We start from the raw sequence: 21,526 nt of genomic DNA on the forward strand, positions 1-21,526 counted from the left end.
GTGTCTTTTCTTTTAGGCCCTCTCAGCTGACAGAGCATGAAGGCATATATGTGTACACCAACCATGTATATATGCATGTCTCTAAGTATGCCTAGATGCAATATCTGTATCTCTATTAGGTTAAATGTGAGTTCATACTGACGTCTCCAACTCAAATCCATTATTACTAAGTGGATTCCAGCTCTGCCCCACCAGCAATCTGTAACCGCCCACTCCAACATTGAGACACCTGGCTTTCACCATTAGCCATCCATTGACTTAACAGTTCTGTTCCAGTCTACATGTACGGAAGTATCAGAATGGCTGACCCATACCCCTGTGGGAGGCAACTTTATTCATTAATTTTTTGAGACAGGCTGTTGCTCTGTGCCCCGGCTGGAGTGCAGTGGTGTGAGCATGGCTCACTGCAGCCTCGACCTCCCTGGCTCAAATAATCCTCCTGGCTTAGTCTCCTGAGTAGCTGGGACTACAGGCACATGCCACCACACCCAGCTAATTTTTTATTTTTTCTAGAGACAGGGTCTCATCATGTTGCTCAGGCTGGTCTCGAACCCCTGGGCTCACGTGATCCTCCCGCCTCAGCCTCCCAAAGTACTGGGATTACAGGTATGAGCCACTGTGGCCGGCTGGAAAGCAACTTTATCAGCCAGAGTGGAATGCATCTGTGGGGCTCCTTTTGCCTTCAGTTTCACAGACTTAGTGGAACTTTCTTCCTCTCACTTCAGTGAGATTGTCGTATACATTTGTGATACAGTTATTAATTGTTTTGTCAATCTCACGAGATTGTCGTATACATTTGTGATACAGTTAATTCTTTTGTCAATCTCATGAGATTGTCGTATACATTTGTGATACAGTTAATTGTTTTGTCAATCTCATGAGATTGTCGTATACATTTGTGATACAGTTAATTGTTTTGTCACATTTCACATTCATCCTGGGAGTCCCCTGTCTGCCTAGGTTTGTTCTTTTTTTTTTTTTTCTTTAAAATATGATTTGCGTACATAGGGTGCGGTGGCTCACACCTGTAATCCTAGCACTTTGGGAGGCTGAGGCGGGTGGATCACTTGAGGTCAGGAGTTCGACACCAGTCTGACCAACATGATCAAACCCCATCTCTACTAAAAATACAAAAATTAGCCAGGAGTGTTTGCGGGTGCCTGTAGTCGCAGCTACTCAGGAGGCTGAAGCAGGAGAATCACTTGAACCCGGGATGCGGAGGTTGTGGGGAGCCGAGATTGAGCAGTTACACTACAGCCTGGGCAACAAGAGCGAAACTCCGTCTCAAAAAAAACAAAAAAAGCGCACACATTAAGGCTCCCTGTGCTGTAAAGTTCAATGTCTTTTGGGAAATGGAGTCATGTATCTGTCATCACAGCATCATCCAGAATAGTTTCAGCACCGAGAACTCCCCTGTGGCTCACCGACTCAGCTCCCCACTGTTGCCAATGCATTCATCCTCCTGCGGTTTCTTTTCACAAGTGCAAACAGATGCGAACGCATCCTAACCCCACTTTCAGACAGAAAATGGAGCAGACACTCTGAAGCTTGCTTTTTTCTGCTTAATACGTCTCAGGGATCTTTCCTTGTTGGCACTCAGAGAAAGCCTTGCTTCTGTATCACAGCTGCTGGCTACCTGTTGTGTGGCTGCAGTGTGGTTTATCGGACACCCAGGTTACCTCCAAGGCATTGCTGTTAGAAATAAGCTGTATGGACAACCACGTACCCTGCTGTTTCAGAAGTCGACAGTCATCTGCAGGGTGAACTCCCAGGAGTGGGGTTGCTGGGCAAAGGGTCAGCACAGTCGTGGTTTTATGAGCGTTGGTCATTTGCCCTCAGATGGGCCCCACTGGCACCATGCTCTCTGCAGCCTGCCCAGGGTCTGCTCCTGGATGCCCAGTGCTGCCACTCCAGGAGGTGCCACAGGGTCCCCTTGGGGTCTTTTTGCACTCCCTGACAGGGGGACATTGAGCAACATTTCCTACATTTTACGGTGATAGGCAGGAGCTGTCCGCGCGGGCCCCTCGCTGTTTTACTGTGGAGTTGTCGATTTTTTCCTCTGGTGCTTGAAGTGGAGGTCAGCTTCTCAAGCGGGGTTTAATTAACAGCAGCTGCTGGCGGAGGGGCTGGGGCCAGCCTGACTCCGAACCAAGACCAGCAGCAAAATTTGCTTGTTGCACATTAAAAGTAATGGGAGTGAGGAACATCAGACAAACCCCAGTGCAAGCACAATCACAAAGATACCTGCCAGTTCTCCCCAGAACTGTCAAGGTCAGGAAAACAGGGACATCTGAAAAACCTTCCCGGCCAAAAGGCACCCCAAAAGACGAGGTGATGAAACCAGACGTGGTGTCCCCCATGGGCTTCTGCGTGGAGCAGAAGACGGATGTTAGGGGAAACTAAGGAAGTCGAGTCGAGTGTGAATTGTGAGTAAAAATAGCAGGTCCACGTTGGTTTACTGAATGTGACAGGTTACGCAGGTGTGAGATGGTCATCACGGGGGAGGCTGATGGGAGTTTATGCCAATGCCCTGCACTGGCTTCCCAACTTATCTATCTAAAACTTTAAAATAAAGTTTAGGTTAAAAAAACACTTTTAAAAAGCCCCTTGAGGCTGGGTGCGGTGGCTCACGCCTGTAATCCCAGCACTTTGGGAGATGGAGGTGGGTAGATCACTTGAGGTCAAAAGTTCAAGACCAGCCCGGCCAACATGGTGAAACCCCATCTCTACTAAAAATACAAAAATTAGCTGGGCGTGGTGGCGGGCACCTGTAATCCCAGCTACTCGGGAGGCTGAGGTGGGAGAATCGCTTGAACCCAGAAGGTGGAGGTTGCAGTGAGCCGAGATCATACCACTGCACTCCAGCCTGGGTGACAGGGCAAGACTACGTCTCAAAAAAAAAAAAAAAAAAGGACATGCTCCTGTAGGCACATTGCTGTGCCTTTGCCCATTCTGGGACTCCTGCCCGACTTCCCTTGCCCTCTCTGACACCTGCCATCCTTCAAAGCCCTGCTCAAATGTCACTGCCTCCAGGAAGCCTTCCCTGACTGCCAGGCACAGTTAATATCCTCACTCGTACCCTCTGCCACCCAACGCCACTCCTGTTCCACACTATCAGTTGGATTTGTCTGACGTGTTTCTCATATTAGACAGGGGATATGGGTTTGGGGGAGGAAGACCACGACAGCAAAGTGCACTCCTGCTCCCATCTTAGCAAGGACACCTGCTATCAACAGGCTTTGTCATTGATGCTGTTGACCCTGGTCACCTGGCTGAAGGGTGTTGGTTGGGTTTCCCCATTTCCACACTATCCTCTGTGGAAGGACGCCACCATGCGCATCCCACAATAAAGGAGTGGGGGTCATGCTCCGCCCACCAGCCTAAGTTAGTTGGAATTCTTTTGCCCGGGGGGGTCTGTCTGTCTCTTCTCCCCCATTTACCCAGCTATCCCATGACTTATTTGTACTGGTGTGGACTCATACATATTTGTTTTCTTTTCTTTTCTTTTTTTTTTTTTTTGGAGATGGAGTCTTGCTCTATCACCAGGCTGGAGTGCAGTGGCGTGATCTCAGCTCACTGCAACTTCCGCCTTCTGGGTTCAAGCAATTCTTCTGTGGCAGCTGCCCGAGTAGCTGGGATTACAGGCACGTGCCACCGCGCCCATCTAATTTTTGTATTTTTAGTAGAGACGGGGTTTCACCATATTGGCCAGGCTGCTCTTGAACTCCTGACCTTGTGATCCACTTGTCTCCGCCTCCCAAAGTGCTGGGATTACAGGCGTGAGCCACCGCATCCGGCCTACATATTTGTTTTCTACATGGGATTGACATTACCACTGCTTTACCTGTGTTTTGTTGCTCACTTTGTCCCAGTTTTGGCCACTGGGAGCTCTTTCAGTTGATTCCTGTCTCCCTTTGTCACAGTTCCATCATTTCGGGGATCTATTGATCCATTTAACTATTGGTCGGTTGATGGATCACACTTCGTTACTTCCTGATGCGACAAGACACTCCACGCCCACTGTGTTTATTTCCTGCCAGGGAATGTATTTCACAAATATTTCACGTGTGGAGGCTGGCGCAGAGCCCCTCCTCCAGGCAGCCTCCCCAGCTCTCTACGGGCAGGACTGGGGCTGTGCAGTGCTCCCCTTTCCCAACCCCTCTGCAATGGCTGCTCTGGCCGAGCTGTCCCATCTGGCTCCATGGCTGTCTCCACCATGAGGCCGAGTCTGGGCTCTCTAGAGGGCAGTAGGCATCTGACTCATCCATGTCGGATGCTGAGCCAGGCCCAGCATCGGGCAGGCAGGTTGGATCTGGGCAACACCGCCTGCTGACCCTGCCCCACTGAATAATAATGACGACGACTGCTCTCCTTTGTGGGACCCCTCCCCTACGCTGGCAGGTGTTGGGCCTGGGCAGGGCCGTAAAGCAGCTCCCCAAGGTGCTTCAAACCTAGGCTTCAGAATCTGCTCTCCATCATTGGGTTGCACCCCAGCATGAGCTATGTGGGCCAGTGGGGGAGTTTCCCGGTCCCCCCTCTGTGGTACCTGGACCGCTACGCTACCCTTGGTGAGCAGGGGAGGGCTATGCCAGGGTAGAAGGGGTGAGGGATATATCCATCCTGCAGCAAGCAAGTGAGGGGAGACCCCGGGACCCACACCTGGCTGGACACCAAAGTGGTGGGCCACGCCCCTGTGACGCCACCTGGGAGACACCCCAGCGGGTTAGCAGGCATGTGAGGTAGCAGCTGTGGATGTTGGCCCAACAAGGGGCTGCTGCCTGGAGCCTGCACTGGGTACCCGTCACGAGGCAGCCACCTCCTCCCTGTCTCTCCGGTGTCCCAGGGGGAGGTGCAGCCAGTGCTGTAGCCAGATCCTGCCGGGCACTGCTCACAGGCACACGTGGCTCGACACATGAGGCGGGAGAGCTCAAACCTCACCTAGGGCAAGTCCGTGCCTGCTGCAAGCCGGTGGTTCCCTCCCACCCAGCTGCCCACACAGCTTTGCCTCAGCAGAAGTGCACTTGACTGGGCTCTGCCCCCTTCTGCGTGTCTGGCAGAGGTGAACCCGGCTCGGAATACATGGGGCTGTTGGCTCCCACCTGGCTTGGGCAGCCCGGCCCCCTGTCACTGGCACTTGGTTTGTTAGTCATTCAGCAAACGCTTGCAGAGTGTGGTGCTGTGCTGGGCACGTGGCCCACAGAGAGCAAGGCCCGCCAGTCTCCTCGCTGGAGGAGCCCGCAGTGCAGGGGACCTGCCTAGGAAGCAAGTGGTGGTGACAGATGATGGCCCCAGTCCCAGGAGGGGCGGAGCATGCTGAGTCTTTCCAGGGCGCAGGGCAAGGGCTGGCCGGGCCGGCGGCCGGGGTAGGCCTCTTTGAGGAGGCAACACACCGCCGTCACAGCCTGGAGGAGAAGGGGTGCCAGGAAGGAGTGGTGTGCAGAAGCCAGGGCAGGCATTGGGGGTGTGGGACAGCACAGGGTGGCCAGGGCCCCGCCAGGGGTGGGAGAGGGGAGAGCAGGGTGAGGCTGGCAAGGATGGCTTGGATGTAACCAGGTGGGGAAAGAGAGGGGTCATGCGCCAAGTGCCCTGTGGTGCCATCTGCTAAGATTCAGGGCCGGCGGGGGGCAGTAGGTGTCCAGTTCTGGCTGGGTGGTGTCTGGGCTGGCTACTGGCCATCAGAGAGGCAGACGGTGGCACTGGCACAGGCCCTCATTCTGAGCTGCAGCCTGGGGACCTCAGTGAAAGCAGATGGCTCTGAAGACCCCGCCGGCGTGAGCTCCCCGCACAGAGTGTGGCCCTTAGAGAAGGCATGACCTTTAGGGAGGAGGAGGCTGGGAAACGGGAGGTGTCCAAAGGGTGTGGTCAGCGGGTGGACCAGTGGCCCAGAGAGACATGGAAGAGGGAGCCGGGAAGGGACTGCTGGGCTTGGCCACGTGGAAAACACTGGTGACCTGTGCCTGGGTAGTTTTGGGGAGCGCGGCGTGGGTGCGTTGATGCGAGGCCAGGAAGTAGGGCCTGGAAAGTAGCACTTGAGGTTTTGCTGGGAGGCGGCAGCACTGGCCGCAGGTGCCTGCGATCACCAGTGTGCTCCCCGTGACATCTGGCCCAGTCCAGGTGGGTAGCAGGGAGTCTGCAGGAATCCCCCTTGGAGCCCTCCTCCCCTCTGCCTGCTGTGACCTCAGCCTCGGAGCCTCGAGCTCCCAGGAGATGGCTCCCAGCTGGGAGGACTTCACTCCTTCGGCGGAGTTGGGGGACTGTGTGCTTGGGTTGGGTTAATGACTGTGTAAGCCAAGGTCAGGATCAACCCCCATCACTGGGCTCTGCAGAATGCCAAAATTCCAGCTGGGGTCCCACCCCTGATTCAGGAAAGTTGGGGCTCTGAGGAGTTCGGGCCTATGGGATTGGAGGTCCTGGGGGGACTCATCTGTAAGCTGGGATCTGATGTCCCCGGGCTCTTGGGAGAATGGCAGCCTTGCAGCCCCTGCTGTGTGCCCTCATCTGGGACCTTCTCCTCTGTGCACTCTCTCGGTCACCCACACCCCACCAGCCGGCTGGTCCACAGGGTGTTTCTGAGGCTTGGCCTCTTCTGGCTCTGTGATCTTTTTTTGGAGACAGAGCCTGGCTCTGTCGCCCAGGCTGGAGTGCAGTAGTGTGGTTATCGCTCGCTGCAGCCTCCAACTCCTGGGCTCAAGCAATGCTCCCACCTCAGCCTCCCGAGCAGCTGGGACTACAGGCACGCACCACCATGCCCAGCTAATTTTTTTGTATTTTTTGTAGAGACGGGTTTCACCATGTTGCCCAGGCTGGTCTTGAACTCCTGGACTCAAGCGATCCTCCTGCCTCGGCCTCCTAAAGTGCTAGGATTACAGGCGTAATCCACTGCGCCCAGCCCTGGCTCTGTGATTTTACCCTCTCCGCACCTCTGTTCCTTGTGGTTTTAAAGGTGGAGATGCTGAGGACTGGCGGGAGCTGCAGGGCTGCTGTGGGGGCTCCTATGTAGGCAGTGAGGGCTCTTTGGTCAGCTTCCTCCAAGGAAGGAAGGTCCCTCTTCTGAAATCTCCTCTGGGGAAACAGCTCGCTTCCCTCACCACCCCCAGATGAGGAGCACTGTGCTAAGGAGTCTCAGGCACCTGGTCAGCAGGTCAGGCAGACCCAGGGAGAAGGAAGGACTGTGGACCTGCTGGGCCGCAGAGTCAGCGATTCCCTGGGCTCCAGGCTGACGCCTGCCCCGACAAATCAGGACATTCCGGCCAGTTCGGGGGTGGGTGTCTTCAGTTCCAGCCCAGGCACGAGAACTGCTGACCACTTCCTGCAGGCCTCCGACCCGGCGGCCCAGCCACCCATCCGGCTGGGGTGGCCATCAGTCATCTGGAAAGCCTATGAGCCCCGTGTCCTCGTTTTGCAAAGAGCAGTTCCTGAAATCATGGGGCCTAGAGCTCTGCTCTTCTGATCAGGGGCCGGTTTCAGCAGCAAAGGCCAGAAATAACACATGGTGTGAGCGCTGCTGAATAGGGCACCGTCCTAGCCCTTTCCGGGGGATGACTCATCATGCTACCATTCCAGCACCAGCTGGTACGGGGCTCCAGGCTAGCGGCTTATCATGCCGGCCCGGATACACCCGTCCTCAAACTTGGGTGCGCAGAGGAATCAACTCAGGAAGGAACCTCAGGAGAGATTTGTGCAGGTCCTTCCCCCCATTCTTGGGTCTGAGTAGGGCTTGATAATGCCTTGGGAGGTGTGCGGGGCCATCTTTGCTTGTTTGTGTTTCTGGGAAACACTGCGTTCAGCAGAGACAGCATTTTATACAGGAGGAATCGGAGGCCGGGAAAGATGACGGGGCTGCTCAGCGTGGAGCTGGGGTCCGGCCGGGCTGTGTTTTCCAGGGGCAGGAGCTGATCTCTGAGTTACATTTATTTATTTATTTATTTATTTATTTATTTATTTATTTATTATTTTTGAGACGGAGTCTTGCTCTGTCACCCAGGCTGGAGTGCAATGGCGCGATCTCGGCTCACTGCCACCTCGGCCTCCCAGGTTCAAGTGATTCTCTCACCTCTGCCTCCCAAGTAGCTAAGATTACAGGCACCTGCCACCACACTCAGCTAATTTTTGTATTTTTTTTTATTAGAGATGGGATTTCACCATGTGGGCCAGGCTGGTCCCGAACTCCTGACCTCAAGTGATCTGCACCCCCCTCGGCCTCCCAAAGTGCTGGGATTACAGGCGTGAGCCACTGCGCCCGGCCCTCAGTCACCTTTAAAATGAAAGGGCCACGGAATCACCAGGAACTCTCCTTCCTGTGACCTTGGGTAAAGGTCATTTTCGCCCTGCCCCTCAGTCTCCCCATTTGTAAGCCTGAAGGTTGTAAATTACAATCTTCTTATCCAACCACTTGTCTTTATTTTATTTTATTTTATTTTATTTTATTTTATTTTATTTTATTTTATTTCATTTTATTTTTGAGATGGAGTCTCACTCTGTTGCCCAGGCTGGAGTGCCGTGGCATGATCTCAGCTCACTGCAACCTCTGCCTACTGGGTTCAAGCAATTCTCCCGCCTCAGCCTCCTGAGTAGCTGGGATCACAGGCGTGTGCCACAACGCCCAGCTAATTTTTGTATTTTTAGTAGAGGTGGGGTTTCACTGTGTTGGTCAGGCTGGTCTCAAACTCCTGACCTCGTGATCCACCTGCCTTGGTCTCCCTAAGTGCTGGGATTACAGGCGTGAGCCACGGTGCCCGGCCCACTTGTCTTTATTTGTTGCCTTCTCTTCTGCTCCGAGTTTAGGTTCATGTCGCCACCTGGTGATTGGCTTCTCTGTGCATATATTTGCACAGTTGCAGGCATGACCAGGGTGGAGCAGTGAAGCGGGGCCTGACGTGATGTACCATGTTTCAAGCCTGTTTCACAGCACAAGACAGCCTCAGCTCTGTGGTCCACAAACCACATGACCACATCTGGCCCCCTGTCTTGTATAATAGATAGTTTTCTTGGCATATGGCCACACCTGTTCACTTACTGCTATCTGTCTGCTTTCCTGCTGTAAGGGCAGGGTTGTGACGGACCTGATGGCTGGCAAAGCCAAATACGCATCCCCCGGCCCTACCCAGAGCACGTTTGCCTCCCCTCTTCTAGAACGACCTTGGAGGCTCCTGCGCGCCTGTTTCTGCTGGACAGGGCCAATGGGAGAACCAGCAGCCTGCGAAAGTGGGGAGAGTATGGGTAGCCTCTAGCCCCTGGCCTCCGCATTCCTGAGAGTCACTTTTATGGCATTGTAGATTAACCCCTTGGGGTGCAAGCATGCTGGCCTCTCCTTGGCTACCAGTGTCCATAGTCCCCTGAAGTGGCTGTGGGAGCCACTTCACTGCCTGCCAGGAGCACAATTGTTTGAGCTGGCCCTGACCCCTGAGAAACCCTTTACGCCCCTGCTTTGCCTGGTTCCTCTCCCTCCAAGTCTCAGCCCAGATGCCTCCTCTTTCAGGAAGCCTTCCTTGATTTCATCCTCCTCTCTTTCCTCCCAGGCCTCCCTTTGCTGCTGCACCAATCATGCTTTGCCATCCTGATCTGTTTCCCAGTCAGTTTCCTCCACTTGTCTGTAAGCTCCTCCTGTGAGCAGCCAAACCATGGGACAGGTAGGGTCCCACAAAGCAGAGCTGAGATGGGGGTGCTGCCATCGCCAGTGGCAGGTGGGGCTCCAAGCTGCAAAAAGCAGCATTACCTGGAGGTGGGGAGTGGGACCGACCCTCAGAAGTGCAGTTTCCTGTGAGGGATGCAGTCCCCAGGACCCCTGCTGGTATGGGGGCAGGTCCGGATCACCTTCTGAGCCCAAGATGATTCACTGCAGAGAACTGAAGATGCTCTGAGACAGTGTGATGAAGCCAGAAACTGCCTGTGCCTTCCTATGACTGCAGCTGTCATCATTTGCTGCAGGAGGCTGAAAAACGCAAAGACAAAAGCCACCACCCGTGCGGGAGGTAGAAGGCAGGGCCCCTGCTCCCCAGCCAGCACCCCTGGCTTGAGTTGCAGCCTGGGGCTCGGGCCTCAGGGAGCCTGGTCAGCACTCAGGGTGTGCCTCCGAGGCTCTGGCTAGGAGCTGTCCTGGGACCTTCGAGATGGATAATTAAAAGGGGCGGCGGGGGGTGTTGGTGGTGGCGCTAAAAAGCCACAGCTGAAGGGTGTGGCTGGGGGCTTCACGCTGCTCTGTCCCAGGTGGGCCAGATTTGGGCTTTCCTGAAGGAAGGACACAGGAACAGATTTGGTAGCTTCTTTGAGCGACCTGGGAGAGTCACAGAAAAAGTCTGAAGGCGCACTCGCGTTTCCCAGGCCATCGTGGCCATGCCTGCCGCTTCTAGTGCTGGCTAGAAATCGTGTCCTGGCACCTTGTCTGCCCAGACTCCTGAGCAGCCAGACCCTGGGATGGGAAGCACTTGCTGAAAATGAGCTTGTTCCGCCCTCAGGGAAAGCCTCTGGTCAGGGTGGCTTGTTTTGTTTTCTCTCTAACTCTAACATACCTGTTCAGCAGCTTCCCAGCCCGGAGCAGGCCAGAAACGGGGAACAATCTGGTGTAAAAGGCAGGTGGGGAGATGGAGAAACTCTAAGACTATCCCCTCACCCTGGCGATGGGTCACCTTGCCTTATAATTCAGTAAAACACCAGCTGGTCCCAGAGATCAGGAAAGGGACAGAGGACGGTCGTTGCTTTCCAGAGCACCATTGCAAAGATTAACTCTGGAGCTTGGTGCTCGAAGGAGTGGGTGTTAGGTTCCCTGGAAAACCCCAGACTCCTGGGCAGGACTTGCTTCCCGGGGTTTCCGGCAATTGAGGGCACCACTGCCTTTGTCTCCGGCTGCTCCACTCACACCTTAGAAAGCCCCAGAGGGCAGTTGAGGGAGGGGTGAGGAACACAGGTTTGGTGCTGGAAGGACTGGGATCTGGGCTGGTTCTGCCACATAGGAGCTGTGTGGCCCTGGGCAGGTCATGCCTCCTCTAGACCCTCTGTGAATCAGTCCAGCGGGCATCAGGAGACACTCACCAGCAGGCATCAGGAGATACTCACCAGCAGGCATCAGGAGACAGTCAAGCTGGTGGCGCCATCAGCAAGCCCCATGTGATGACAATCCTTGTGAAGGACTGAGCATCTTCTTGGCAAGTGACAATTTGAATTTATTACAACCACATCAGGGAGCAGAACTGGAGGGCACTTAGAAATCTCCAAGCCCAACTCTACCATTTGCAAGATGGAGAGACTGAGGCCCAGAGGAGTGACAGATTGTCCCGGGAGAATTGAAGCCTGAGCTGGGGTTCGGACAGGTCCTCTGGCAGGCAGGGCTGTGTGTGCTTCTGCCCCAGTGTCTGCAGCCTCCAGTTGGGCGTGCTTGGAAAGCCCCCAGCCCTGAAGGCTCAGGCACCTTCCTCTAGGAGGCTGCTGGGTGTGCTGTGTGGAGTCGGGGTGCTCTGTGCAGTTGGGGAGGCTCTTGGAAAATTCCCCCGGCCTTGGGCCAGAAGTACAGCTGCAGAGACAAACAGGATACGGGGTCTCCAGCCACAGCAGGGGACAATGGCCAGGAGAGGAAATGTCTCCAGACCCGTGTGTGGATGTGGAGCCCGTCTGGGGGCTTTTTTCAACGTAGCTTCCAGAAAAACAAACACAGGGGAAGCCAAGCATCTCTGGCCAGGAGATGAAATGTGTTCTGCCTACTCTGGAGAAGGGGTGGAGGTGTGAGCAGGCTGGAGAACTGGGGGCACCCGCTTTGAGTCTCAGGTCACAGATGGGAAACTGAGGCCCAGAGAAGGAGGTGCCACAGGCAGGCAGCAAGTTGACACAGGTGGTCTTGGGCGCCAACTCCCCACTTCTCCCCACAGCCCCTTGGGGCCATCATCTGAGCAGGGGCACAGGGCAGCCCCATCCCGTGATGGGGGTGACGAGGCCAGGGCACTGGTAGGAGGCGCTAACCTCCCAGGGACGTCGGTTCTTCCCCACCTGCCTGTCGAGCGCAGCCCCTCTGTGCTCCTCGCTGGGCCAAGGCTGCGGAGAGGACCCGGCACGGGCATTTGTTACATGCACAGAATCTCAGTGCAACTGAGGTGTGCACCTGTGCTTGGCTTGTTAGAAAAGTCCTTGAGTCTAATTTAATCTTTACGATGACTCAGGGCCTGGCCACAGATCTCACGTCCCCACCCGCCTGACACCCAGGGCTACTTGGAGGAAGTGACCACTCCATGAGGTTGTGTTGATGGATGTGTTGGACCCGAGGCACGAATGTGACCCTCGGTGGAGAAGACTCGCTGAGCAGGGGAGGGAGCCTCAGAGGCTACAGGTGGCACTGGTGGGGACGTGGGGAGAGGAAGACCTGGAGGGGTGGGGTGGGGTGATGTTGGGTGCTTCTGTGGGCATCCACAGGTCCTGGGCACTGGGGTGGCAGATGCCTCGGGGGTGGCCACTCACCCAGGAAAGCAGCCCACATGGAGGAGAGGTGGGTGCCCAGAGTTGCACCCATTCCACAGGGAAGCTGCCAGTAGAATCCAGCTCCCAAAGTGCTCTGGGCTTCAGCAGTGGGACCTTTGTCAAGGGTGGAAGCATTACCCAGTCCCCTGAGACAGGGGAGGCAGAGGGAGCTGGACAGAGGCCTCCAGCTGGTGGGGGCTGGGCAGGAAGAAAGTTGAGCCCTGATGGGAGAAGGAAGGTGGGAGATGGGGCTGGCAGGTGTCTGCAAGGAAGGGTGGGGTGCTGAGGGCTGGAGTCCAGGAGGGGCTTCAGGATGGGGTCCCTGGACCTTGTATCGTCCATCCCCAAGGCCCAAGGAGGGGGCTGAGAGGACAGCAGGCTGCAGGGACTGCAGGCTGTTGGGGTTGAGGGGCTGTGATTGGGGGCCAATGTTTCTAACCACTGTCCCAGGCCTGCTTCACAGCTTATGTACCGAGCTGACACCAAAAGGTAGGACCACCCTGAACCTGTGAACCTGACCTTATTTGGGAAAGGAATCTTTGCAGATATAATTTCCTTAAGGGTCTCCAGATGAGATCATCTTGGGTTATTTAGGTGGACCCCAAATCCAGTGACAGGGCGCTTAAGGGAGACTGAAGAGGAGACACAGACACAGAGGAGGAGGCTGGGTGGAGACAAGGGCAAAGACTGGAGCGATGCCACCTCTAGCCGGAGCATACCTGGAGCCCCAGAGGCTGGAGCAGGCAGGAAGAGGCCTCCCCTGGAGCTTCTGGAGGGAGCATGGCCCTTCCGACAGCTTGATTTTGGACTTTTGGCCTCCAGAACTGTAAGAGATGACATTTCTGCTGTCTGGAGACCCCAGTTTGTGGCACACAGTTGTGGCAGCCCCATGAAACTGATAGAGTGACTGCCCCTCGACGAGGCCAGAGAGAACACCATCTTCCTCCTCAGACGCAGCCGGGGCTGGGGAGCCGTGTCCCCGCAGGGAAGAAGAGCTGGTCTGGGAGCTGCGGCCCCTCTGCCTGTGGGTCAGACTTTCAGATTGCTGCCACTGGGGATTCTCTCAAAGTGTCCTTTGGTGCCTCTGAACCCTCCAACCCACCGTGTGCTCACTGAGCATGTTGATGGCATGGAAGGTGGGGCCTGGCCAGGCCGGGCCGGGGAGCCTGGAGGCTGGGCCCCTAAGGGGCTTGGGCCTCACCTGGGCCATCCTCGAGTTCTTTTCAGGGCAGCGAGGGGCATGCCTAGGGCATCTGCAGCTGCACCCCCGATCCCGGGCCCTGGCCTCAGTGGGGCGGAGGGAGGGTGTGACTTGAGGGCTCACCGTGCAGGATGCAGGGACTTGAGGTAAGCGTCAGCCCCTGGGCAGAGCCTGTGATTAGAGAAAGGTGAACAGGACGGGAGGGCGAGGATGAAGGACGCAGGTGTGGGCTGGAGGGGCTTTGACCTGAGTAGCTCACCTGGGCTGGGAGTTCTCAGCCTGGGGTGACTTCACCCCCAGGGGATCAATATCTGAGCTATGTTTGGCTGCTATGATTAGAGGAGGGGGCTACTGGCATCCAGTGGGTGGAGGCCAGGGACCAGCTAAAACCCTCCAGTGCACAGGACAGCCCCCCGCCCTGCAACAAAGAAGGATGCGGCCCCAAATGTCGGTAGTGCCTTGGTTGAAAAGCCCAGCCCTAAAGCCTTCAGAACCAGTCAGACCTGGTTCCAGTCTTATCTTCTTGTTGGTCACTGGCCTTGGGCATGTCACATTACCTCCCTGAGCCTTAGTTTTCCTGTCTGTGAGATGGATACATAACTATTTGACTTAGGGATTATTCTTGGTTTTCTCAAACCAGGTGTGTGTAAAGCTCCGACCTATCACAGCACAGGCTGGAGGGATCCCTCCCATTCCCACTTCCTAGAGCTGGGCCGGAGCCCGCAGCCCACACCCACCACGTGGGTGCTCACACTCCTGTGTTGGCAAGGGCATCAGAGCAGGCAGACAGGCGGGACCAACAGGGCAATTTGAGTTCAGTTCTGCCTCTTGTCCCAGCTGACGTGAGCCCAGGCCAGGCTTCCTCAGCAGGCAGGGGCGAGATTACGTGCTTTGGCCTTGGGTCTGCCTGGCTGGGAAGGTTTCTGCTCTCAAACCTGGCTCAGGCCTGGAGACGGTGGGAGGGTAAAGAGGTAGACCCGTTGGGACAGGCCAGGCTAGCAAGGAGAGCTTGCGGTGAGGAGGAGGGGAGCCCATCTCTTCCCCTAAATGTTCCCATTGATGGAGCCAGTGGCCCGGAGGGCACCCGGGCAGAGACGGAAGAAATTGCACGTGAGCGTTTGTGTGCATACGTGTGCCTGTCCATGTGTGCACACACTTGTGCTTGTGAGTCTCTGTGTGCCCATGCATATGTATGTGTGTCTGCATGCACATGCGTGTGTGTGTGCATGCATGTATGTGTGCAGGCATGCGTGTGTGTGTGTGTGCAGTAAATGGAAGAGGAACAGAGATCAGAGCTGAGGCTGGCAGGGCTGAGGCAGCCGGTGGCTGGTGGACTTCCCCAATCCCAGCCTGGCGGGGGACTGGGTGCCCCTAGCCTCTACTACAGAGCCTGGGGGCTGGGCAGCGGGCAGGCAGGACAGGGCCTGGACCTCGTCCAGGAAAGAGCTAATGATCAACCGGCTGCGGTGTCTGTGCAGCCGCCCTGGGCCTGCCTCTCCGTCACCGGCCCTCAGGCGCAGGGAGGAAGTAGGGCAGGAAGCAGGGGGCGGAGGCCGCTGTGCAGTCAGCCTGGCTGTGGGCGGCCCCTGCCTGCTCCGTCCAGCTGGAGACAGCCCCGTGGGGCCAGCCAGCGCTGGGCCAGGAGCGGCCACCTGGTTCCTGCGTGCTACGGCCCTGTGGGCCTGGGAGCTGCCTCTGAGGAACACGCCGCAGGTATGGGGGGCTCCGGGGCAGGCGGGGCGTGGACTGGCCGAGCAGGCTGCTGTCTGCCAGTCTTGCCATGGTTGGATCTTTACACTTTCTTGAGGACTTTTCTGACCTGTTTGGGATGGGGGTGGAGCGAAACTGCGAGCTGGGGGCCTCGGGGAGGTCGTCGGCACCCTCAGCAGACCCCACTCAGAGCTCACAGGTGCTGGCAGTGCCAATCCGCAGTGATTGAGGGCAATGATTTCAGCTTTGACCAAGCACCCTTGCTTCTGGGACCTGGCCTGACCCCGTGCTGGCCCTTGGCATGAGCGGCCCTGGGGGTCTGGGAGCAGAGCCAGCCTGTCGCTGGATTCCAAGTCCAGCGGATCTCAGGTGTGACCCCAGCGCCCGGTTAGCTTGGGCCACACTACCAGACCTACCAGGGCGAGCCCAGCGCCTCAGCCTCACCCGGCACCGCAGTGGCTATAACTGGCCACTCTGATGCCGCCACCTGGGCCTCTTTTCCAACAACCAAATGGACCAGCAACTGGACCAGGGGCTTCAGCCTGAAAATTCCAGGGAGGGTCTGGGCCCAGCCTTCAACTGCAGGTGTGCCGGGGCGTGTGCTCCTGTGTGTGTACACCACTGAGACCCCCTCTGGGCCTGTGCGTGATCCCCAGGAGCCCTGGGAGCCCTGCCCTGTCTGTGAAGCGGGAGTTTCCAACCTTTTGCCGTTGACGAGGCTCAGATGAGATGAATAGCAAAGTGACGCTGGGGGGTGTTAGCGGTGTCGGCCAGTGCCAGGGCCAGGGGCAGCCTGCATGTGGGCCGGCCACTCAGGGTGTGGCCTCCCAGCGCCAGGCAGCGGGGCTGCGGCTGAGCTTGTGGCTGGAGGCAAGGCTGGGCCCGAGTCAGGTCTGGGTTTAGGATGGGTATGTGGGGGCTGGGCTCTGACCACCTGGGTTCAACCCCACCTGTGCTGCTTGGCTGTGTGACCTTGGGCAGGCAGAGTCACCGCAGCTGATGGCTCATCCGTGAAAGGGGCACAGCTGTGCCTCCCTCCTCCAGGTGAGCCGAGGATGCTGTGAGCACCCTGGATGGCCATAATTATGTGACTGTCAACACTGTTGTTGACAGTGATGACAACTGTGTCCCGTGTGGGGCGCTGGGCCAGCGTTTTTTGCATGGAGACGTCACTCACTCTTCCAGCAACACGGGTGACGATGGCCGCACAACACAGAAGAGCAAGGCAGGGCCCAGCAGCGCACGGGTGCGCCGGTTTCCCCTGCTGCCAGAGCGCAGGACACAGCCCTCTCGGTCGTGTTCTCTCGCGGCTCTGGAGGTCGGAATTCCGAACTCAAGGCGTCCCTCAGAAGGCTACTGGGCGGCTCCTCCCTGCCTCTTCCCGCTGCCTGTGGCTCAGGGCGCTCCTTGGCTGTGATTACATCAGTCCACTCTCCGCCCTGGTGGTCACATGGCCTCCTGCCCGGCTCCTCTGTGTGTCTCCGTGTCCTCTCTTTTACTTACAAGGACACCACGCACTGGATTTAGGGCCATCCTCATCTGGAACACCCTCATCCCAAGGGAAGGTCGCTTCATCTGCGCAGACCATTTCCAAATAAGGCCCCATTCTGAGGTTTCTGGGGGCATGAATTTTGAAAGGACAGTGTCACCCCAGGATGCGAGGTGACAAGCCAACCCTCCGGAGGTGCTTGGTGGCATAGGTGAGGTCTCAATGGCCCTAGAAGTATTTGTTCCGTAAGAGCCTGGCGAAAGCTTGGCCAAAGCTTCCCAAACCCATTCAGGGCTGGCCGCGGCCCTCTCCCTTCTTCTTCCAACCCACATTCACCAAACTCTGACTGTGGACCAGGAGCACTGTCCCTTTAACCCACTCGACCCACTTGTGCGGTGTGCGTGCTCATTCTCATTTTCTGGCTCAGTAAATTGAGGCATGGAGAGGCCTCCCAGACACCGGGGTTTGGCCCCACGTCTCCGTGTTCTGGAGCCAAACTCCACCCCTTCCCCCGGGGCTGGAGGCTGGCCTGGGGCTGGAGCCTGTTCTGACCCATCCAGGGCCCCCCAAGGGTTTGTCCTGATGATAAACTGAACAAACAGGATGAAGGCAGGAAGGAGAGAGTCCTGCAGGCTGCTTGGTGGTCCCCCAGCTGGGTGAGCTGGCCCCTGGGGGCGTCAACACCTGCCCGTGGTTGGGGCCTCTGCTTGTGCAGTGGTGGCTGGGCCTGCAGGGCTGAGGGAGGGGACGCTGTGGAGAAGGAGCTCACTTCCTCATCGCCAGGCTCTGCACAGGAATCCCACGCTTAGGGTTATAACAGCAGGTGGGAAATTCCCTGAGCCTGGGGAGCCCTCCTTTTCTCAGAAGACAGTCTCTGAGTACCAGCTGTGTGCCAGGCCCGGAGAAGCCCTGGATGCCGTTTCGAACAGGCCTGTTCCTAACCCAGGGGGAGGTGGTGGGCTGGGAGGCAGGCAGGTGTCCCGGGCATCAGCCAGTGGATGGAGAGAGGCTGCTGGGACTCCTGCTCTGCCTATAGGGACATAAGACCCAGCTTCTGAGGGACAAAAAGGCAGAGATGGGAGGACAAGGACTCCAAGGTCAGGCGTTCGGAGCGAAAGACCCCTTAAACCAGGGAGCTCGCATGCCCAGGGAGTGGATTCCAGCGCTTTGTTGAGACGCCTCCATGTGCTTCCGGAGAGGAGATGGGAAGACAGCCTGGCCTTGCAGGCAGGGGCTTCCTGGTGCTGCCACAGACTCAGGGCCAGGTGGTGGGCACAGGCAGCCACAGGTGCCAGGACCGCAGTCCTGCAGAGCAAGGAGGAGAAAGCAAAGTCCGAGGCTGGGCGAGGGCAGCCAGGGCATCCTGCACTGCCCCTGAAGGTGCCCAGAGCTCTCCAGGCGTGACCAGGGTCCCAGGACATGGGAACAGGGAGGGTGAAGGCCCCAGGCTGCACAGGGCATTTGATCAGTGAGGCTGTGTTCTGCGTCCGCAGTTCCACTCACGCTTCCTCCTTTGGAAAGCAAGTCTCATGGGCTGCACCCTGCTCCCACTCCTGGGCGAACAGCTTCCCCGGAGGGTCTCTTGGGTGCCTCTTGGCGTCAGATGTCTCCTGATTCACCATTCCCGGCCCCCACAGGTCCTGGTCCCTGCCCCTCAGAGGTGGTTGGGGGGTGGGAAGGATTTGGCCACAAACTGATCAATCAGATTACAGTTGGAGCAGGTGTGCAGATGGAAGGTGGGGTGCCGGGGCACTTCACAGCCAGGGGCTGTCGCCTCTGCAAGCCTTGCTGGCCCGGGGCTGATCCGGCTGAGGCCCTGCACTCTGAGCATCCCCAGGGAGCCTTCCCTGACTGTGGGATTCCCTCCCCGGCCAGAGCTAGGGGACCCTCTCTATGCCTCATAGAACCTCCCTCACGGAACCATCACTATTCTGTCGAAATTCCCAACTTAGCAGGCCTGGGTCTCCCTCCCTCTGTGTGGGAGGTGGGTGGTTGTTGAAACCAAGGACTTTAGACCGTGGGCTCCTCCCGCCCCTGCTCTGCTGATGGAGCCCAAGGTATGAGGTGAGCTGGGGCCTGGGAGGCCAGTTCTCAGGGTGACAGCCACAGCCATGGGGGCAGGGGTGATGGCTGGGCTTACATGACACCCACTCGTCCCTGTCTGCAGCCAACTTGCCCCCCATGAGGGTTTCCTCATCCTGTACTAAACATTACACAGGAGCTGCCTCTTGGGGAGCAGCCTCTGTGAAGGGACCTGTCGCCACAGTGGTGGCCCGAGCCGAGAGCAGTGCGGGGAGGGAGGAGGTGCTCGTGGGTGGGAAAAGGCATGGCAGGGATGGCAGCTTCAGTGTGCACTTCTGCTTTGGTCTGACAGGTGTGCGGGTGCGTGTGTGTGTGTGTGTGTGTGCTTGCACACAGGCTTGAGAATTGCCTAGCCCCTCAGAGCCTCAGTTTCCCCATCTCTGCACTGGGGAGGTAGGCCTTCCCTGGGGGTTGCTGGACCAAGGTGTCTGGTACCAGGAGGTGTGCCAGTTGGCACCTACTGTCCTGGGACTGTCCTGAGGTCAGTCTTGACCGCCTCTGGGTTTTCAGGCTCAGAGCCTCGGGGGAGGGCTGGGGGTGCTGGGGAAGGAAACTGGGCTCCATCTGTGCTTGATGTATGGTGAGATTTTCCGTGCTGCTGTCTAACGCAGGCCCAGCTTGCCCTGTTTGGTAAAAAACTGAGGTGGGGAAGAAATAAGCCCAGCATCTCCGCAACTCCTACCTCCCATCTCCCCGCCCCTGCAAGACATTCTGAGCAGACACTGGGACAGACTTTGTGGCGCATGGACTCGTCCCCCTGCTCCTGGCTTGAAGCTCCCAGGGGTGCCTCTCTGCCCTTCCCAGGTGCTCGATGTCCAGGGCCTCCTGCCTCCCCTTCACAGCTGCGTCCTCTGTCCCTGACTGCAGACCCCACGCACCCCCAACAGCTGCCTGATTTGCCTCCCAGTCCCCTGCCACGTTCCCCGCCCAGAGAGCAGGGTGGAAGTGGGAGATGGGGATAAGGACAGGAGGCTCTGGGGGTTGTCCTGGCAGCTGGAAGGCCCCAGCCTCGTGGGCCCATCAGGGCTCTGAGGCCCGGACGGAGGCCCTGGCAAGCCCTGGGTGCCCTGCCCCCCAGCATCCACCACAAAAGGGGTGACAGGACAGCAGGAGGCCAGACTTGCACTTTTGCTCCCAGACAGAGGTCAGAGGCATGGCCGTCCCGGTTCTCCATGCCCTGCCTGCAGAGGGGATGTTTGCTGGCCACTGAGGGGCTTCAAGCCAGGAGCAAGGGGACGAGTCCACGCACCGGAAAGTCTGTCCCAGTGTTTGCTCAGAATATCTTGCTGGGCGGGGAGATGGGAGGCAGGAGCTGCGGGGCACGCTGGGCTTATTTCTTCCCCACCTCACATTTCACCAAGCAGGGGCAGCAGAGCCTGTATTAGACAGCAGCAGGGAAAATCTTCTCACCACACATCAGGCACGGATGGAACCCCTTTTCCTTCCTCTGCATCCCCATTGCTCCCCGAGGCTCTGGACTTGAAAACTGCCCTGGCCATGGTGTTCTGGAGGGGCAGGGTGGACCTTTCCCCACCCACAATCAGTGAACAGTGAGGCCCCCCATGACCAAGCCCTCCCTTTGGGGACAGCAGGGTTCTGACTATGTGCTTGCCATCCTCCTCTCTTATTAGCGCCTCTGTCTGAGGCCGGAGCTGAGGAGGACGTGGCTGACCCCGTCCCTGCGGCCACAGCTGGGGTTTGTCCCCTGTGCACCTCAGCCCTGGCCCAGGCTGCCGTCCCCATGGCCCCTGTGCCTATTTGTGACGCTGGAAGGGGGACTCGAATGTGTCCTTCTGTGTCTTCTGACAGGCGACGGAGCACTGTTCCGGGAGCACGGTCTGTTGGGTGTGACGGCCCAGCAAAGAGGCAGTGACCGGCTCCTGAGGAGGGGCACAAGGCACCCAGGGGTTCTGCCTCGACAGGGAAGGGGACTCCAGGCAGAAAACCAGCGAGAGGAGGCCCCGTGGAGGAAGGGAGCACAGCAAACCCGAGATAGGGAGGGGAGGCGCAGCAGCGGTGCGGGATCACGCCCACCACAACACGGTGCACGGTGCGGTGAGGGGCTCGCTGGATCTGAAAGGTGCAGGCGCTCAGCAACGCTGGTGTTCTCTTTCTGGACCCCAGGCCTGGACACAACCTCCGTGCTGGTTCTGGAGGGGCCACCTCTCCTGACCACACCCCCTCTGTCCACAGGGCCAGGCATGTGAGGTCTCTGCGGGTCATGGAGAACCTCCCTGCCGTGACCACTGAGGAGCCGACCCCCATGGGGAGGGGTCCTGTGGGACCCTCAGGAGGTGGCAGCACCCGGGACCAGGTCCGGACTGTGGTCATGAGGCCCTCTGTGAGCTGGGAGAAAGCGGGGCCCGAGGAGGCCAAGGCGCCAGTGAGAGGCGGTGAGTTCATTCCACCCTCACCACCCGCCCTCCATCCCACCCACTTCTCCACCCCACCCGCCCCGTCCATCCATCCCTCACCACCCTGCCTGCCTCCAGGCCTCTTGGGGCTGGGGCTGGAGTCTGCTCTCCATCACTTCTCGTTTCCTTCCCCCGCGTGTGTTTAACAGGAGCCACTGTGCCCGCTGAGTCACTTGAGAGGCCAGGGCC

At 57.7% G+C, this 21,526-nt stretch overlaps 1 protein-coding gene across 14 annotated transcripts in view, besides 12 other annotated features; it reads left to right on the forward strand.

Moving 5' to 3' along the window:
- Positions 1 to 21,526, forward strand: part of SH3TC1 (SH3 domain and tetratricopeptide repeats 1) — a 59,032-nt gene that overhangs the window by 1,979 nt on the left and 35,527 nt on the right. For 6 of the 14 annotated variants that reach the window (XR_007057930.1, XR_007057931.1, XR_007057932.1 and 3 more), the window contains exon 1: positions 15,240 to 15,355. Coding sequence is in view for 6 of the 14 variants with exons in the window: in XM_011513488.1 (XP_011511790.1) it covers positions 21,145 to 21,316 (172 nt within the window). In the remaining 8 variants the exon portion in view is untranslated. Of the gene's footprint in view, positions 1 to 15,239; positions 15,356 to 16,523; positions 21,004 to 21,116; positions 21,317 to 21,526 lie in introns of those variants that run through there. The other 8 variants (NR_134639.2, NM_001318480.2, NM_018986.5 and 5 more) reach the window with 4 other exon arrangements.
- Positions 3,769 to 4,295: an enhancer, noted in NCBI's record as "H3K4me1 hESC enhancer chr4:8189546-8190072 (GRCh37/hg19 assembly coordinates)". NCBI's record gives its function as "activates a minimal SCP1, AML or CMV promoter by ChIP-STARR-seq in primed H9 embryonic stem cells {active_cell/tissue: H9 hESC(primed)}" and the evidence as "EXISTENCE:reporter gene assay evidence [ECO:0000049][PMID:30033119]".
- Positions 5,872 to 6,397: an enhancer, noted in NCBI's record as "H3K4me1 hESC enhancer chr4:8191649-8192174 (GRCh37/hg19 assembly coordinates)". NCBI's record gives its function as "activates a minimal SCP1, AML or CMV promoter by ChIP-STARR-seq in primed H9 embryonic stem cells {active_cell/tissue: H9 hESC(primed)}" and the evidence as "EXISTENCE:reporter gene assay evidence [ECO:0000049][PMID:30033119]".
- Positions 7,450 to 7,974: an enhancer, noted in NCBI's record as "H3K27ac-H3K4me1 hESC enhancer chr4:8193227-8193751 (GRCh37/hg19 assembly coordinates)". NCBI's record gives its function as "activates a minimal SCP1, AML or CMV promoter by ChIP-STARR-seq in primed H9 embryonic stem cells {active_cell/tissue: H9 hESC(primed)}" and the evidence as "EXISTENCE:reporter gene assay evidence [ECO:0000049][PMID:30033119]".
- Positions 9,010 to 9,059: an enhancer, noted in NCBI's record as "active region_21281". NCBI's record gives its function as "activates an Ori minimal core promoter by ATAC-STARR-seq in GM12878 lymphoblastoid cells {active_cell/tissue: GM12878}" and the evidence as "EXISTENCE:reporter gene assay evidence [ECO:0000049][PMID:35858748]".
- Positions 14,477 to 14,576: an enhancer, noted in NCBI's record as "active region_21282". NCBI's record gives its function as "activates an Ori minimal core promoter by ATAC-STARR-seq in GM12878 lymphoblastoid cells {active_cell/tissue: GM12878}" and the evidence as "EXISTENCE:reporter gene assay evidence [ECO:0000049][PMID:35858748]".
- Positions 14,927 to 15,046: an enhancer, noted in NCBI's record as "active region_21283". NCBI's record gives its function as "activates an Ori minimal core promoter by ATAC-STARR-seq in GM12878 lymphoblastoid cells {active_cell/tissue: GM12878}" and the evidence as "EXISTENCE:reporter gene assay evidence [ECO:0000049][PMID:35858748]".
- Positions 15,257 to 15,446: a silencer, noted in NCBI's record as "silent region_15258". NCBI's record gives its function as "represses an Ori minimal core promoter by ATAC-STARR-seq in GM12878 lymphoblastoid cells {active_cell/tissue: GM12878}" and the evidence as "EXISTENCE:reporter gene assay evidence [ECO:0000049][PMID:35858748]".
- Positions 16,077 to 16,126: an enhancer, noted in NCBI's record as "active region_21284". NCBI's record gives its function as "activates an Ori minimal core promoter by ATAC-STARR-seq in GM12878 lymphoblastoid cells {active_cell/tissue: GM12878}" and the evidence as "EXISTENCE:reporter gene assay evidence [ECO:0000049][PMID:35858748]".
- Positions 16,257 to 16,306: an enhancer, noted in NCBI's record as "active region_21285". NCBI's record gives its function as "activates an Ori minimal core promoter by ATAC-STARR-seq in GM12878 lymphoblastoid cells {active_cell/tissue: GM12878}" and the evidence as "EXISTENCE:reporter gene assay evidence [ECO:0000049][PMID:35858748]".
- Positions 16,437 to 16,586: an enhancer, noted in NCBI's record as "active region_21286". NCBI's record gives its function as "activates an Ori minimal core promoter by ATAC-STARR-seq in GM12878 lymphoblastoid cells {active_cell/tissue: GM12878}" and the evidence as "EXISTENCE:reporter gene assay evidence [ECO:0000049][PMID:35858748]".
- Positions 17,317 to 17,526: an enhancer, noted in NCBI's record as "active region_21287". NCBI's record gives its function as "activates an Ori minimal core promoter by ATAC-STARR-seq in GM12878 lymphoblastoid cells {active_cell/tissue: GM12878}" and the evidence as "EXISTENCE:reporter gene assay evidence [ECO:0000049][PMID:35858748]".
- Positions 18,387 to 18,436: an enhancer, noted in NCBI's record as "active region_21288". NCBI's record gives its function as "activates an Ori minimal core promoter by ATAC-STARR-seq in GM12878 lymphoblastoid cells {active_cell/tissue: GM12878}" and the evidence as "EXISTENCE:reporter gene assay evidence [ECO:0000049][PMID:35858748]".

Source organism: Homo sapiens, chromosome 4, assembly GCF_000001405.40.
Source record: "Homo sapiens chromosome 4, GRCh38.p14 Primary Assembly".
NCBI lineage: Eukaryota > Metazoa > Chordata > Mammalia > Primates > Hominidae > Homo > Homo sapiens.